At 41.0% G+C, this 15,511-nt stretch overlaps 1 long non-coding RNA gene across 1 annotated transcript in view, besides 1 other annotated feature; it reads left to right on the forward strand.

Moving 5' to 3' along the window:
• The window catches only part of LOC124902020 (uncharacterized), a 35,839-nt gene extending 25,070 nt beyond the window's left edge, over positions 1–10,769 (forward strand). The window contains exon 5 of the long non-coding RNA XR_007061107.1: positions 10,563–10,769. This is a non-coding gene — a long non-coding RNA (uncharacterized LOC124902020). The remainder of the gene's footprint in view (positions 1–10,562) is intronic.
• Positions 910–1,204: an enhancer, noted in NCBI's record as "tiled region #6197; HepG2 Activating DNase unmatched - State 5:Enh, and K562 Activating DNase unmatched - State 5:Enh". NCBI's record gives its function as "activates a minimal TATA promoter and a strong SV40 promoter by Sharpr-MPRA in HepG2 and K562 cells {active_cell/tissue: HepG2 | K562}" and the evidence as "EXISTENCE:reporter gene assay evidence [ECO:0000049][PMID:27701403]".
• Positions 10,770–15,511: the final 4,742 nt, after the last annotated feature.

Here is a 15,511-nt window from a genome sequence, read left to right on the forward strand (position 1 = left end):
TTTGATTTAGCTTGACTGTTTTTACTTTTTAGACTCTGTGTATCTCCGACCCTTGCGAACATCGCACCCTGTGCCATTATTTTCTGCTGTTAATGGCAGATTGGCTACGATGCCTTCCTTTCTTCTGTATTGGGGTGGAGGAGTGATGTGATTTGCATATAGTTACCCAGAATGCTCTGCCAATGGTCAGTTCTCTGCTGGCTGGGAGACTGAGCTCAGGAACAAGCTGCAAGGTGTAAATGGGCTTTTGGGTATGCTGATTTATGTTCTAATTTATACTCATGTGACAAGGATTGAACCCTGACTATCTTAGCTGGGGTGGAAAAGGTCCCTGGACAGGGGCAGGGCGGGGAATTTGATGTCCACATATATCCACTTTTAGAGTTTTAGAGTTCTTTGGAAATAGGGATTTTTTTTCTTTTTTTGGTCTGTCTCAGACTGCCAAGTAGAAGCCCAGAGAAGGAGGAAGTTAATTCACATTCTTAATTTTTTCTAAGGGCAAAAAAAAAAAAAAAATGCACCAGCTCATTTTCCATCTCTGCTTGGGTCATCAGTGTGCATTGTGAGCCTGTACAAAGGCCTTAGACGGGGAATGCTGCCGAGAGCATCACCTTTTATGTCTTCTTTTATATGAAATGTGCCACTTCCCCACTAACCCTGGCTCTGGGCTCTGCCTCTGCTCTCCTGATGGTGTGTTTATGGTGGATTCAGCATTCTGGGCCACACAAGGAAGCTGCAGGGGGTGTCCAAGTTCACATGTCCCCGCATTCCAGGCGAATGTTTCTGACATTGAGCAATGATATGGCTCTGCCAGGTTTAGGTCTGTCTGATTGGAATGCAACCCGAAAGGAAAGTCCCGGAATGATTCAAACACTCACCTCCCCACAACCCCTTCTTGGTTTTTTTTTTTTTTTTAATTCCTTTTTAATTCTCCAGTGACAAACTCAGCCCAGCACTCTCGCTGACCGCATGGCACTTGTTGGTGCTGATAAGTGCAACTTCCCAAGAGATAGGAATGCAAATCGTAATATTTTGTTGAGTCATGTGTACTCTGCGGCTGTTTCCCAAACATTGCATCAGACCTGTAATTGGCAGCTCCCAGTACTCTGCTGGATGACACCAAATGTCCAGGAAAAGCTCAGTCCATTTCTCGAAAAATGTAGTCTCACTCTCTCCATCTGCCTAGTTGTAACATCCTGTTCCTAAGGAAGTAGAATCCCTTGGGGTAGCAAGGGCAAAACCGGTTTTGCGGATAAGTTTGAAAAATATGGCTGTTGGCCTTTCCCACCCACTCTGGTCTCTTAGCAACAAGACAGCTGATGGTATCCACTAGGGGGAAAAAAAAAACAAAAACACAAAACAAAACAAAACAAAACAAAAATCATAGAACATGTGGGGGAGCCTGTCTGAATTGTTGCCTACAGCCTGATTTATTTAAACCTCCACTACATTCTTGGATGTGAAGACCTAGGAGTCAAGTCATGGGAGCTTTCTCTTGCCCTTCTCTTGACCTCTATGAGGCAGATAGAGGAAAATCTCAGAATGAGAGGAACTTTCTTCCTCTTCAAGAGTCTGCGTTATCCGAGATGGCCATTTCCTTTGACCTCAGGAGTAACCACTTGAAAACTTGGACACATTTATAGAAAATTTGGGCTCCTGGGATGCAGTGCTGGGAAAAGCACAGGGCTGAGGGGCTGGAGCTTGGGGTACCAATGGTGACAGTCTCTCCCTCCCTGTGGGAGTACTGGCAGGAAATCCACTGTGCCCTTGTCCCCACCGAGGGTTGATTTTCTCCACTGCAAAGTAAGGAGATTGAATTAGATCTCAGTCTTCTCTTAAGGTACCTTTCACACTGAGCCTATGGGAGTGGTGGTATGTGCATGTATGTGTGTGTGTGTGTGTGTGTGTATATATGGTGTGTATGTATTTATGTAAACTTTATATCATGTTTCAATCCAATTCTCTCTCTCTCTCTCTCCACAGAGCTAAGTGGTACCACAAGAATTCAAACCTAGATCTAGCCAAGTTTGAAATCCTTGTTCTCAGCTCCTACCCTATGCTGTTATGATCTACACAGAGAGGCACCACATAGCTAGTATTTTATGTTATACCTGGTGAACTTTCTATCTATGCTTATCAATTCATAGGAGTAGAATTGGGAATGTTGGCGTTTAGAACATGATACCCCAAAGTATGGCACCATGGCCTGCTAAGTACTTTGAGCTGAAGGACATAGGGAGTTCATAGAAGTGAGATCCTTTTGAACTTCTGCTCCCACTCCTCTTTTTTGCCTAGAACCAGCGACAGAAACTAGAAATGCTACACTAACTTTCTCCCACCTTACTGTGGAGGAGGAGCTGGCCAAAAAGGAATTCTCTGCCCTACCTTATTGGATAGTAGGTCATCAGACTCTCATTTCGGAGGAATCCTACCCCAAACCTGGGAGGAAGAAATGCCACCCAGAGAAGCCGAGAAGAATAGGAACAGACAGATCATGCTGAGATCCCCTCTGTTACCATTAGATCATATCCTCTTGCCTGATCACATTTCTACATGGCAGTCCATTCTTCATTGAATCTAAGCATAAAAATGGATAGTTTTCTGTAGCTCATTGGGTCTTCATTTTGAAGGTTCTTATGTCACACCAAACTTTCATTTAAAAAAATTATCATGCTTTTCTCTTGTCATCCTTTCTTTTGTTATAAGGGTGCCATCCTTACGACGAGGAAGGACGAGGAAAGATATCACACGTTTGTGCTCCTATAGGAAGTTATAGAGGACCTAGGCGTTAATAAAGAAACCTGATTTCACATCCTTGCTCTGCCCCGAACAGTTACGTGGCCTCAGGATTCTTTACTATGAAGTGTGAATAACAGATCCTCTCTGATCAGGTTGCTATGAGAATTAGGTGAAATGATGTAAAATACCTGACACAGTGCCTATAACCTAGTAAGTGCTAAATAAAAAGAGGAGAGAGCTTCAGAGAGACAGAGAGGGAGATGAGATATTGATAAAGTATAGGTTTCTTGATGACAGGAACTTGCCCTGTTTATCCTGTAACCTCAGCACACTGTGTGGCACACTGAAGATGATTGTGTTTTCTGAGTCAAACAGATGTCTCTCTCTCTCACACACACACACGCACGCACACACACACACACGTGATAGAGTGATGAATTCCACAATTTTATGTTGCTGGAACTTCTTAGTAGGGCTCTGCATTTTACAGCAATGCATCACAGTTAAAATAATCAATGTGATCTGGCTGTGATTATTTCTTTCATTATTTAAAAATATCAACAATTGCTTTTCAAAGCACTTTGATTTTTTTTTTTTTTTTTTTTTTTTGGCCAGATTTTGTTAGGGTGTTTCTCTCTTTCTACCGCCACTCTTTTTCTTGAGCACTTACTATATATCAAGTCCTGGGTCAGGTGTCTTATATTCATTGTTTTATCATTATTCCTAATATCCTCCTAGCAACTCTATCAGATAGGTTTTGTTATTTCCATTTCACAACTGAGGATCTTGAAGCTCAGAAAGTGTGAGTCATCTAAGACCACACACCTGGTCAGTGGCAGAGAAAGAATTTGAACCTACATCTCCCTGCTTATTAAAGCAGAGTGTGAGGGCAGGGAGTAATTTATACATCTTTGGTCTTGATAATTGAGCTCACTCCTTCCAAAAAAAAAAATAACTGTTTACTTCCTATCAATACTAGAGAACTTGGAGCACTTCATGTTTTCTTGGCACTGAGCTACATTCATTATACACTATCTTATTTAATCCTATTAATGACCCTGCATGATAGGTAACAATTATTAGGCATAAATTTCAGAGAAGGTAGTTATTGACAAGCAGGTTAAGTAATAAGCCTGAGTAACTGGGATTTAAACTTAGGTAGTCTGACTCCAGAGTGAGCTTTCCTCTTAAGAGTGATCCATTGATTTTATTCACGCTCACGAGATTATGTGGTCTTCATGCACTTGGGGAGCGTGATTGTGGCTTATCTAGAACTTAACTTCCGCTCTTTTTGGAAGTGACCATCACCTCCTTCTCTGCCCTGGGAATAAACAATAGAAATTGAGGATACAGAAGCTGTAGAACCATAGGCCAATAGAGTTTAAAACTTGAAAGACTTCTTCAAGAGATCATCTAGTCTAATAGTTTCCAACTATGGGGCATTGCTTGTTTAGTGGCTTATAAAATCAATTTAGTAGTTCATGGCTGACCTTCAAAAAATGAAGTGAGTAGAATAGAAAACATGAGATTTTGTTGTACTTAGGGTGAAGTAGTCTTGAGAGCAGTAGTTTCAGTTATCTATATGTCAGTGTCTCCTGGGTCACTATGTAAAATGCATTTCTTACTGAGGGTTAAGTTTGAAAAGTTTGAAAAATGTTGATTTCATCCAGTGTTTTTCAAATTTTATTCCATGGCATCTGAGGAGGCCTCAGATATCTTATGGGAGATAAGGATGGAAAAAGTTAAGTAGAAAGAATTTCAGAAATGTCTTCTTATGTTTATCTGCCTTTCATGTTGGACTTTCATAAAATATTTTATCTTAAAAAGAAGAACTTTACTGAAAAAAAAAAAATAATTCAAGAACCACTGATTTACCCCATTGGAATTGTGTTGTTTTGGGTATTGATTCATTCTTATGTAACTTCGTGAGGTAACCGAGGACCAGCTATGTGCTCAGAACAGTGATGGCTGCCATAGGATATGCAGGAAGTCTAAAAAATGTGGTTATCCCTGTCCTTAAATTGTTGATAGAACCAATACGATATCAATTTATTTCTTACATCAACTATGATAAGAAAATACATGAAGAAGTTATTCGGAATATGGCAATTGATTTAAACAGGAATCAAAAGATTGCTACAAGAGGAGATATGAAGGGATCAAAGCTGGCTGAAGCAATGGAGATGAAATTGAATACGAAGGGTTGCAATTTGGTTCTAATCAGCTGCATAAATACAAGTGTAATATGAATTTAGTTGACAATAGTTCATCATTAAAAGTCTTAAGGTTGTGTCTGGGTGCGGTAGCTCACACCTGTAATCCCAGGATTTGGGGAGGCTGATGCAGGCGGATCACGAGGTCAGGAGATCGAGATCATCCTGGCCAACACGGTGAAATCCCGACTCTACTAAAATACAAAAAATTAGCCGGGTGTGGTGGTGCACACCTGTACTCCCAGCTATTCAGGAGGCTGAGGCAGGGGAATCATTTGAATCCGGGAGGTGGAGACTGCAGTGAGCTGAGACCATGCCACTGCACTCCAGCCTGGCAACAGAGCAAGATTCTGTCTCAAAAAAAAAAAAAGTCTAAGGTTTTTCATTGACTTCTCTGTGAGTTAACAGTATGGCATGGGCCAAAACCCAAGGCAAGCTGATTACATTCAATGCATTCATGAACATACAGTATGGAATACTTCTGTTGTGGAATTGCAGAGATGATCACTGCACTTTCCAGCTTCTCCTATATGAGGTTCAGTCTGTCATTTATTCTGGTTTGGCCTCATGACTGGCTTTGGCCATTAGAATATGGTTGAAGTGAGGTTGTGTCACTTGAGCCCATTTTTCAAGCATGCAGTCTCCATTCTCGAACTCGGGGAACGCTGATACAGCCATGTGAATAAGTCCTGGTTAGCCTTCTGGAAGAAGACAAATAGTGTTGAGAGAGATCCCACCTGTTCTAGCCCAGGTCACCCTAGACCAGTCAATCTCTAGCTGATCTGAAGCTGATGCAGATGCATGAAATTACCAAGCCCAATCCAGACCAGAAGAATTGCCTAGCTGACTTCTAGAAGTGTGAGCTAACTTTTGGAATGTTTTGTTAGGCATCAAATCCTAACAGACGGACCCATTGTCTTGCACTGGCAAAGCCACTCTGGAAGACAATACTATGACCACATTTGATTGCTAGAAACATTCATAACATTGGCTACAAATGTTTACAAACTAAAAGATGTTCAGATCAGGGTGGGGAGAAAGGCTCTGAAAACCAAGGAGTTGAGAAAGCTTAGTTTGAAAAGTAAAGATGTTTTTAGGAACATGAACTCCACCTTCTGAGATCTGAAATTAGTAGGAAAAGTGAGTTGAATAATTTGTAACTTCTGTGGTTGGTTGAATATTTCGCTGCAATTCTTGCCCCGTTGCATCCATTTTGTCATAGCCTTATAACAGGCAGCATGCACTTTCCTTCCCCTTTACCTTGGGATTAGATGTGTGGCTTGCTTTGGCCAATGAGATGTAGGTAGATGTTATAGAGTGCCAGTTCTGGCCCCATAAGGAACATCTCATGTTTCCACTCATTCTCCTATACTTCTGCTATCACTGTAATAACCTAGCCCACTTGGCCCACTGGTCCCAGATAAGGTGAGAAACATGGAACACAGCTACCTCCCACCACCCTTCAGCATGTTCCAGAGCCTTCCCAGCTAGCCCATACCTTCGTAAGTGAGAAATTAATGGTTATTGTACATGCCTCTGAGGGTGTGATAATGATTCGTACCCAGAAATTGTTGGCCAACATACTGCTGAGATTAAAATTAGGATTAAAGAAACATAAAATAATTAGGATCAAGGAATAGCTACACCAATAAAGTAGACTTCTGTTGCATTTAAGGAGGAATTTCTTTGCCAAGGAAGAAGAACTGGTGAAATTAGGAATTCTGTATCCTGAGGGATGTTCAACCATCAGCAAGATGTACATCGTCTTTGTAGCTGGAATGAGAATCAGACCTTCATTTCCCGGTGACCAAGATATCAAGTAATTTAGGGGATGAATAGTAGGTCATTTCAGCTGTGTTTCAGCAGAGAGGGAGGATGAGCATGGGAGCTTATGTGTGTGCACAGTGAAGGTGTTGCTTAGGAGAAGCAGAGGCTGGGGGAGGTTTGTATGCCTCAACAAGATGCTGACCTTTGATCTAAACCTGTGTGCATTTGTTATCCAATCTCGAATTCCTCCCTCTTACCAACAAGTTCTGCTCCTGAAGATCCAGCTTAAGTCTAATTTTCTCTGTGACAATTTTCTCTGACCTTTCTAGCCTACAGGGACCAATGCATTTCTGAATTTTTTATCTTGGCTGTAATTTATATGCTGTCTTTGCTTTTCCTTGACTTCTTTTCCAGGCTGTTAGATGTTTTCCAGGTACTCACATAGCATTTCCTCAAATTAAAAAACCTGTTACTCTGATCATGGTCTTGTCTCTTTCCTTAAATGTGTGAACTGGTAGAAGGCCAGGAGTATGGCTTATTCACTCTGGTGCCCCTGTATCAACCACAATGCCCAGCATGCCACAGGGCTTCAGGAAATAGTTCTTAAATGAGTGGACATGGATTTCTTTTGTCTTTCTGACTCAAGTATAAATTCCTTAAAAGGCTACTGGTACTCACATTCTCATAGTGCTCCAAGGCCTGTGCATTTATTCATTCAACACATATTTGATGAATGATCCTTACTGTGGCTTACGAAGTCCTATGTCACCTGGCTCCTAACCATCTCTCTGACATCATCTTGTGTAACTCTTTCTCTGAATCACTGACCTTCGCTAGCCACATTCATTTTTTCTCAGTTTTTTTAGCTCTTAAAGTTCTTTCCCATCTCAGGGTTTTGTAGTTTCTTTGGCTACAATATCTTCCCCTTGATTTTCTGTGGCTTCCTCTTTCTTATCATTCAGGTTCAGTTTGAACTTCTCCTTTTTTGAGAATCCTGTTCTGAATACCCAATTTGAGGTATCATCCAGCCTCTCTCCATCACATCTTCCAATCTCAGTTTTCTGCATGATATGCCTCACTTTCTGATAATTTCCCTTTTTCCTTCTTTTATTCCTCTCTCTCTTGCTCCTTCCCTCCCTCTCTCCCTTCCTTCTTTTCTTCCTTCCATCCTTTCTTTCTTACTTCTAACTTGCTTATTTATTTAATTGATTGGCTTTCTCTGTTAAAATGCAAGCTTCATAATAACAAGCACCTTTTTGGTTTTGTCCACTGCTGTGTCCCTACTGTCTAATAAATATGTTTTGAATGAATAAATGAATGAATATGAGTCTAGGAGTCAGATGAATGTTGGGAATAGACAGGAAAGAATTCAGACAAAGTTATTGTCTTTGAGTATTTTACAATTTCTTGCTGAATGAACAATCAATGTGTAAATGATAAAGCAAAATGAACGAAAACAAAATAAACAAACAAAAACAACCAACGAACCAATCAAACAGCAAAACAAAACAGACTGGATTGCGTGTAGCCCATCTGATGTACTTAAGCCTCAGCTTTCTGTGCAAAATAGGAATAATAATACATAGTTTGCAGGTTTGCCATGAGGATTAACTGAGGCAGTGAATGGGCAGCAGCATATCATTCCTAGAATATCATACCTGGAATTCAGCAGGTGCTGAATTCCCAGAATGGTATTCTTGACTCCCCTGCCTCATCTCCCTTCTGATATGTGAAATAAAGTAATTAAGAAGCTCATATTGGTCTCCCATCTGAACCACTTCAGAGAATTGAACTCCAATTCCAAGTATGACTCCTAGATTTAAATCCCATTATGAAAATCTCTCTATCCCAAGTTCTCCAGAGTGTTAACAGTGGAGGTGGAACTGATGATAGTTCATTTGTGTGGCATGCACTTTGATTCTTTCAGAGCCTTTGTGTGACCTGTGAAGTCTTGTTAGTTGCTGTTCCACCGCAATGTGGTGGGGAACTATGTGATAATTGGCTAAAAGCCACTGAAAAAGCATAAAGTGTCTGGAAATGCTATAGACAGGGCTGGTCTTCTGCAGAGGTGCAGTTGACAACGGCTGGCGTTTCCTGAAACACCACCATTGATGAGTCAGTCCTTTAGGTTATATCATTGCTAGATAAAACAAAACAAAACACACTTTAGTAGTGATTTGCATGTTCATACAAGTTTGCTAAATAGCAGTGTTTAGTTCTAGACCTTTAAATAGATCTTGTTCAGCCCTGACATTCAAGACAATTGAAATATTCTGTGAGCAGAACTGTGACCACAACTATAATAAGGTTAAGTGAATCCATATTTGGGGATAGTTCTTTCTGAGGCTGGCTGGTTGTGTCTAGTGAAGAGGACCCACAAAAGCCCTGGAGAAGGGGCAAGTTTAGCCACTGGAAGGGGCAAGGTCAAGGGCAGTTACACAACAGAACTCCCAGAGTTAACTCATATCTTTTCCTACTGTTCCTAATCTATTTCCCTCCCCCCTCCACGTACACGGATGTGCCCTTTAAATATTTATTTGCCCACCTTTGCAGTGTGCGGTAGACTTTGTCTCACAAGTCAGCTTGATCCCTTTGAAGGTGTTTACTAATTAAATCAGGCTGGGAGGTTAGGAAAGTTCAGATATATTTATCCTGTATAAAGTAGTCCCTGGACCCAGGACCCCTAAACAGCCCTAGGGAGGTCAGCTACAGTTTCCCTGCTTACTTTCTTTGTTGGAGGAAGTCCTAATCATTGCCCAATTAAGCTGAATAACGCTGCTTCTTTTTCTACCATTGGCTCCTGGCACAATTCTAAGACAGACATCGGAATGGCTGGAGCCAGAAAGCTAAATGCTCTTAACAAGTATGTTTATGGGCCAGTTTCCCACACAGCCGTATGAAATTCTCACTCAGTAACACAGCATCTGAGCCACAGACACTGACTCAAATACAATATTGGCTTGGAAGGAAGAGTGCTGCTGTAGCACAGGTCATTTCCCTCTAATATTTTAAAATAGTATTTGTTTCAGAAGAATCTGTGCACATTCATGGATGTATGTGTCTGAGTGTATATGAGTAGTGCCTGTGTGTATGTGTTTGTATATATCTTCAGCTAAGAGAGCTTTCTGAAGAGGCGAAACACAAAGTGAGTGGGAGATCTCTGTTGTATTGGGTCTTAGGGCAGCCTCTGCCTCAATACAACTCCATTGTATTAAGTTCAGGCTTATTTGATTCCCTTCATCCACTTTGTTCATTTTCACTGGTCTGATAGAGAGTGAGAAATAGCTGATCATGATTACATGAAATGTCTGGTTTTGGTCTCAGGGAATCCCCTTAGAGATTCTTGTCTTAAAGGTCTCATCTAGTTCCAACAGCAAGGCCAACCACTTCCCATTTCTGGAGCAGTGGCATGAAGCACTTGGGGGTGCCTGAAAGCACACTGAGAATCATGCAGTTAGCACTGTGACAAAGCTGTGGGTGCCCATGGGCTTTTCTAGGCATGGCCTTCCTCTCATGGACAGAGTCTGGAGCATTCTGCTTTCTGCATCTATGGGTCATCAGTCACAGGGCTGCCATGTCCATAATCCACAGTCTCTTGCTATTTTTACCATGAAACTGGGAGCACCTTAACCCTGTAGACTCAATCCCTAGCTCTGTGCCCATTAACACAGAATAAATAGCTAGTAGTGGTGTTTCTGGTTTAAAGGGCCTGCACTTTTTAAGGTTTTGATGAATACTCCCTAATTATTCTACAAAAAGACTTTACCAAGTTCAAGTTTCTTTCCCAATAATCTATGGCAATAATTTCAATCTCCCTCTTCCCTTTTTTTTTTTAACTTCTAGGTAAACATAAGAAAGGAAAACTTTTGTACGGTGAACTTGGGCTAAAAAGAAGAATGATGTCTCTGGAACTTTTGCTGCTTATAGGAATGAGAGCAAAATCCTGGCATGACCATGATCCTTCAATGAGCACCACTGTGTTGCTGCATTCTGTCTGGCCAATCTAGTCTATAATAGTTTTTTGTTTTGTTTTGATTTTTGTGTGTTTTTTTGTTTGTTTGTTTGTTTTGATGGAGTTTTGCTCTTATTGCCCAGGCTGGAGTGCAATGGCATGATCTCAGCTCACTGCAACCTCCTCATCCCAGGTTCAAGCGATTCTCCTGCCTCAGACTCCTAAATACCTAGGATTACAGGCACCTGCCACCATACCCAGCTAATTTTTGTATTTTTGATAGAGATGGGGTTTCACCATGTTGGCCAGGCTTGTCTGGAACTCCTGACCTCAGGTGATCCACCTGCCTCGGCCTCCCAAAGTGCTGGGATTACAAGTGTGAGTCATCACTTTCGGCTATAATAGTTTTTATGCATCATATTAATTCTGGGTTTTTGCTTTTAAAAAGAAGCCTTTTTTTTTTTTTTTTTTTTTTTTGTAGGGAAGTAAGACTGGATGGTGGGTTAGCAGGGGACTCGAGAAAAGGCAGTCAGTGCTACAGGCGCAGGGATATTAACCTCAGGAGTGACCAGTGGGATGCAACCAGCCGTTGGGGCTTAAAACTCAAGCACATTTCTCGGATGATAATTTCAAAGAAGTAGCTAGTTTTGGTTGAGGCTGCCTCTGGACTATCCCCAGCTTCTCAGTGGAACTCGGTGTTTCTGAATGAATCACAATAAAGAAGCATTACTTGTGGGATGTGGCCAACCTTTCTGTTCAGCTTTTATTGCAGAGCTGATGGCAGCAGCTGGACTTTACAAAGGTGATGGTGGCTCAAAGCCTTTCTGTTCCACTGTGTCTCATAAAGCTTTTATGAAGCCTCAGTCATCTCTTCAGCAGATCCTGTGTCATGAAGAAGGATGCAGAGAACACAAGGAGCACCCCATCCATGGTGCATCCCAGGTTTCTAAACCTTCCAGGGAGGGGAAATCAGCATTTTTGGCTCTGGCCAAGAAGCCAAATTGCTGAAGCTATGGGACTTGTTCCAAACTGCAAGATCTTATTTGATGGGAATGATTGTAGCTTTAGGTAATTCTGCGGCTTATTGGCTTGGGTGAGAGCTCCCTAGTGTCTGCTGGAATGTGATGGCTGTAAGACGCAGGGAGGAGAAATGGAAAAGGAGCGTCTTTATTGACCCAACAGAGCCTTGTAAAAAAGCACCAACTACATATATGCAGTCTGTGCATTTCAAAAGTAACAAACAAACAAAATCAGTTTACCAACTCTTGGGAGAGAAAATGGATTATCATTCACTGCAAATTCTCCTAGGTAAACAGAAGAGTGCTACACCTGTGCAGAGAGAAAAGTTTTATATATGCTCAACTATGGGTCCTCAGTATAATACAGTCCCATCATGTATTTCCTGAGACATCTACTAAGGAGACTTCCTAGAATTGAATCTTTCTCATCTTTTTTTCTCTTTTCTTCCTCAAGTCTTCTGTGACATGTGATAATACAAAACAAAATACAGGTCTTAGAATAAATGTACCTGGAATCAAGTCATTGTGAAATGTTGGGCTTCTTTGACCCTCAGTATTCCCATCGCAAACCAGGAATAATAAGACCTGCATTTCTCCATTGACCATTAGTAAATTGAGCTTCAATTACCTAGTTAGAGAAAAAGTTAAATATTGCCTCCAAAGCTTAACATGCATTTTAATATTTTTGCTTTCTGCTTTTAAAAATATGCTTCTCATTTTCTTCCCCTGACTAGCTCTTTGACTGCCAGAGAGATGTATAAGCATCTTGAGCTCCACTGGTAGAGTTATGAGTTCTTGAATTTAGAGGTTATTAGAAGAATTTTTTCCTACTGTTTTCATGTAAATTACCACTCAGGAAAAAATGGTGGAATAGAATCTTTTTTCCCTTTTATAGTGTCTTTTTCATTGCTTCCAAATTTTTCATAACTTTTCTACAGCTACCAATACCATCTTATATCATCCAGACTGCCATTGCAATACACTCTTAACTCTTTCCATGCTAGCACATCCTATACACAGCATTCATTCATTCATTCGCTCACTTAGCAAACATACCTGGTAGAGCCTGAACATTCTATTAGGCATTAGACATATTAATGAGTTCAAATATCTTCTTCAGATTCCCATCACTTGTCATATAAATGTCAAGGCCCATTGCCTATGATTCAGAATCCTCTGCATTTACTTATTTCAACCTGCTTTGATACCTTTAACCTACTTTTTCCTTTTTTTTCTTTCTTTTAAGAAATAGGGTCTTGCAATGTTACCCAGGATAGATTTTAACCTGTAGGTTCAAGGGATCTTCCTGCTTCAGCCTCCTGGTTAGTTGGAACTATAGGTGTATGCTGCTGGCCCTGGCTCAACATGCTTTTTAATTCTTTCTCTCCCTACATGGTATTATGAACTCTCAACTCCAGGTGGACCAATCTCCTCTTGTGTCTGTGCCTTTGCTTTGGTGGTCCTCTTCTGGGTGTGCCCGCCTATCTAGATTTCACTTGTTCAAACCTAATATTCAGTGGGAAGTTCAGGTATTGCTGCTTTTGTGAAACTCCCCTGACAACAAAGGTTCATAGGACCCTTGTTGTTTAATATCTGAATTTATATAATTAAAACTGCTAGTTATCTTTTTAAGCATATAGGAAAACAACAAGATTTCAAGATACTTAAATGAAAAGAGAGAAAGATACTGGTTTATCTGTTCTCTCACCTTCCATAGCATCTCATACAGTCTTACTCAACAAACACTTGCCTATTTATTTTTTAAGCCACATAATAACACATAAAAATGGAAAGTGATTCACTGTTGGGGTTATTCCAGTAGTTTATTGCTTCCCTCTTATTTATTTATTTTTTGGATGACTTCAGATACCAACCTGGTTCAAACCCTTATCAAAAATGACCTTTCCAACTTGGCTCCTGTGGAGTCTTCATCCTTCTTCTGTCATTGCTATAGAAATACAGGATTCCCTAGTCTAGTCTGGAGAGCACAGTATCAGGTAGTGGAAAGAGCTGCAGCCTTGCACAGCAAACTAGATTTGAGTTCTAATTCTCCCTGCAAATTGTTTGACTCTAGAAATAGCTTGCCTCTCTGAGCCTCAAGTCCCTCTTCTGTAAAGCAGAATTAATAAAACCCATTGCAGGGCTGTTGTGAAAATAAAATGTGATAATATATGAATATAGTACCTATTTTGCTCACTTCACAGTAGGTGATTGCTAAATTATAGCTATTATTTATATCGACCATGAATGCTATAGTGTTCTGCCTCTTCTAGGGCTCTGGAAGAAGCACTGAACTTACAGCAATGCATACCAGCCTACTATGTAGTGGGCTCTCCCAAATTGTAATTTTGGGAGCTGTCCAACATGCAGACTCCTTCCTTGTTGGTACAGAGCCTCTTTTTTGTAGTATGGTTGGAGAATAGTGGCCTCTACTTATCACAGATGTCAGAGACTTTAAATCCTCCCTCTTTTCATCCCTAGGTTGATAGAGTTTAGCAAATGTCCAGAGTCTGGCCCATTATATCCCTCTGCCACCTTGCCTCTGAGATTTTGAATCCTGACTGTGTGACTCTTGCTTCTGGGATTTTGAAACCTGAGAGTATGTCCCAAAGCTAAATACTCACGTAAAATTTATTCACAGCTCAGGCAGCTGCAGTGGTGGTATTCGGCTACATTCTTCCTTCTTCCTACAAGATCATTGTTGAGCTTCCTCCTCTTTAATCACCCAGACTGCTACAGTTCTTGTTCTTCTAAGTTTCCTGTTGCTGAGAACCTCTGATAAACTTCCAGTAAATCACTAACCCTTCTTCCCCAATTTTTCTCCCTATGTTCTTGAAACCAAGAGCTCAGAGTGATATACTACATGTCCCTGGTGCTTCATTCAATGACAGAGGATCCATGGTGCACTGGCCCACCCTTTGATCTTGTCCCCATGACTGACCGTAAGGCTTGGTGAAGTCTTCTGCTGTCATCGTTTTTGTATCATAGTTTCCAGGGAATCCTGGTTTTTAAGGAATCCTGGAATCCTGGAGCCAGAAAGAATGTTGAGCTGCCCTCTAGCTAAGCCATTGGCTTTCCAGTCACCTCCTGTCTATTTTCACAGGATGACATTTCTCAACTTGAATTGTTTCCGTGTTCCGGTTTTCCCCTCCTCCTTTAGAAGAATGGCCCAACCAATAAAATTCTGGCACCTTCTCTTTTCAACATCTGAACATGTTATCAGGAGACACAAATTCTCGTGTAACCTTTGCTGTCGATAGTCGTTGTGTAAGCCAATTCATCTCTTTGTCCTTCAGTCTTCTCACCTATAAACTAGGCTAAGTAGCAGCAGAGGGCCATTTTGAGGGGAAAATTAAAAAATTGTCATGGTGGAATATTTCAAAAACAAGACTGGAAGTAATAAGCAGATGATGCCCTGAATATTTTTCACAGACCAATGATCATAAAATGAATGGTAACAACATTAGGAAAGATGGAGTGACTTTTGGGTTTAGCTATTAGCCATGGAGAATTGTGCGTTGAGTGGCAGTGAGGGGCTGGGGGCTGAATGAAAGCTACTGTTTTTCTAATCAGGTAGTGACCTCTTCTGGGGAAAGAAAGAGTCTAGCAGAGCCTCAGCATTAGGAGACATGTGCAACGTTTGTACCAAGGCAACCAATGATAGAGAGGATGGTCCCCAGAGGGAGAAGCTCTTGGGGTAGATGTTTGCCCTGGGCAGCCAGGTGGAAAACAAAAATAAATGAAATGAAACTAAAAATCACTTTCTGGGTAGCTTTACCCAAAAGAGCTCTCATTGAGAGAGCTAATGAAACCTTGTGGAC

This window comes from Homo sapiens, chromosome 8 (genome assembly GCF_000001405.40).
Source record: "Homo sapiens chromosome 8, GRCh38.p14 Primary Assembly".
NCBI classification, from domain to species: Eukaryota; Metazoa; Chordata; class Mammalia; order Primates; family Hominidae; genus Homo; species Homo sapiens.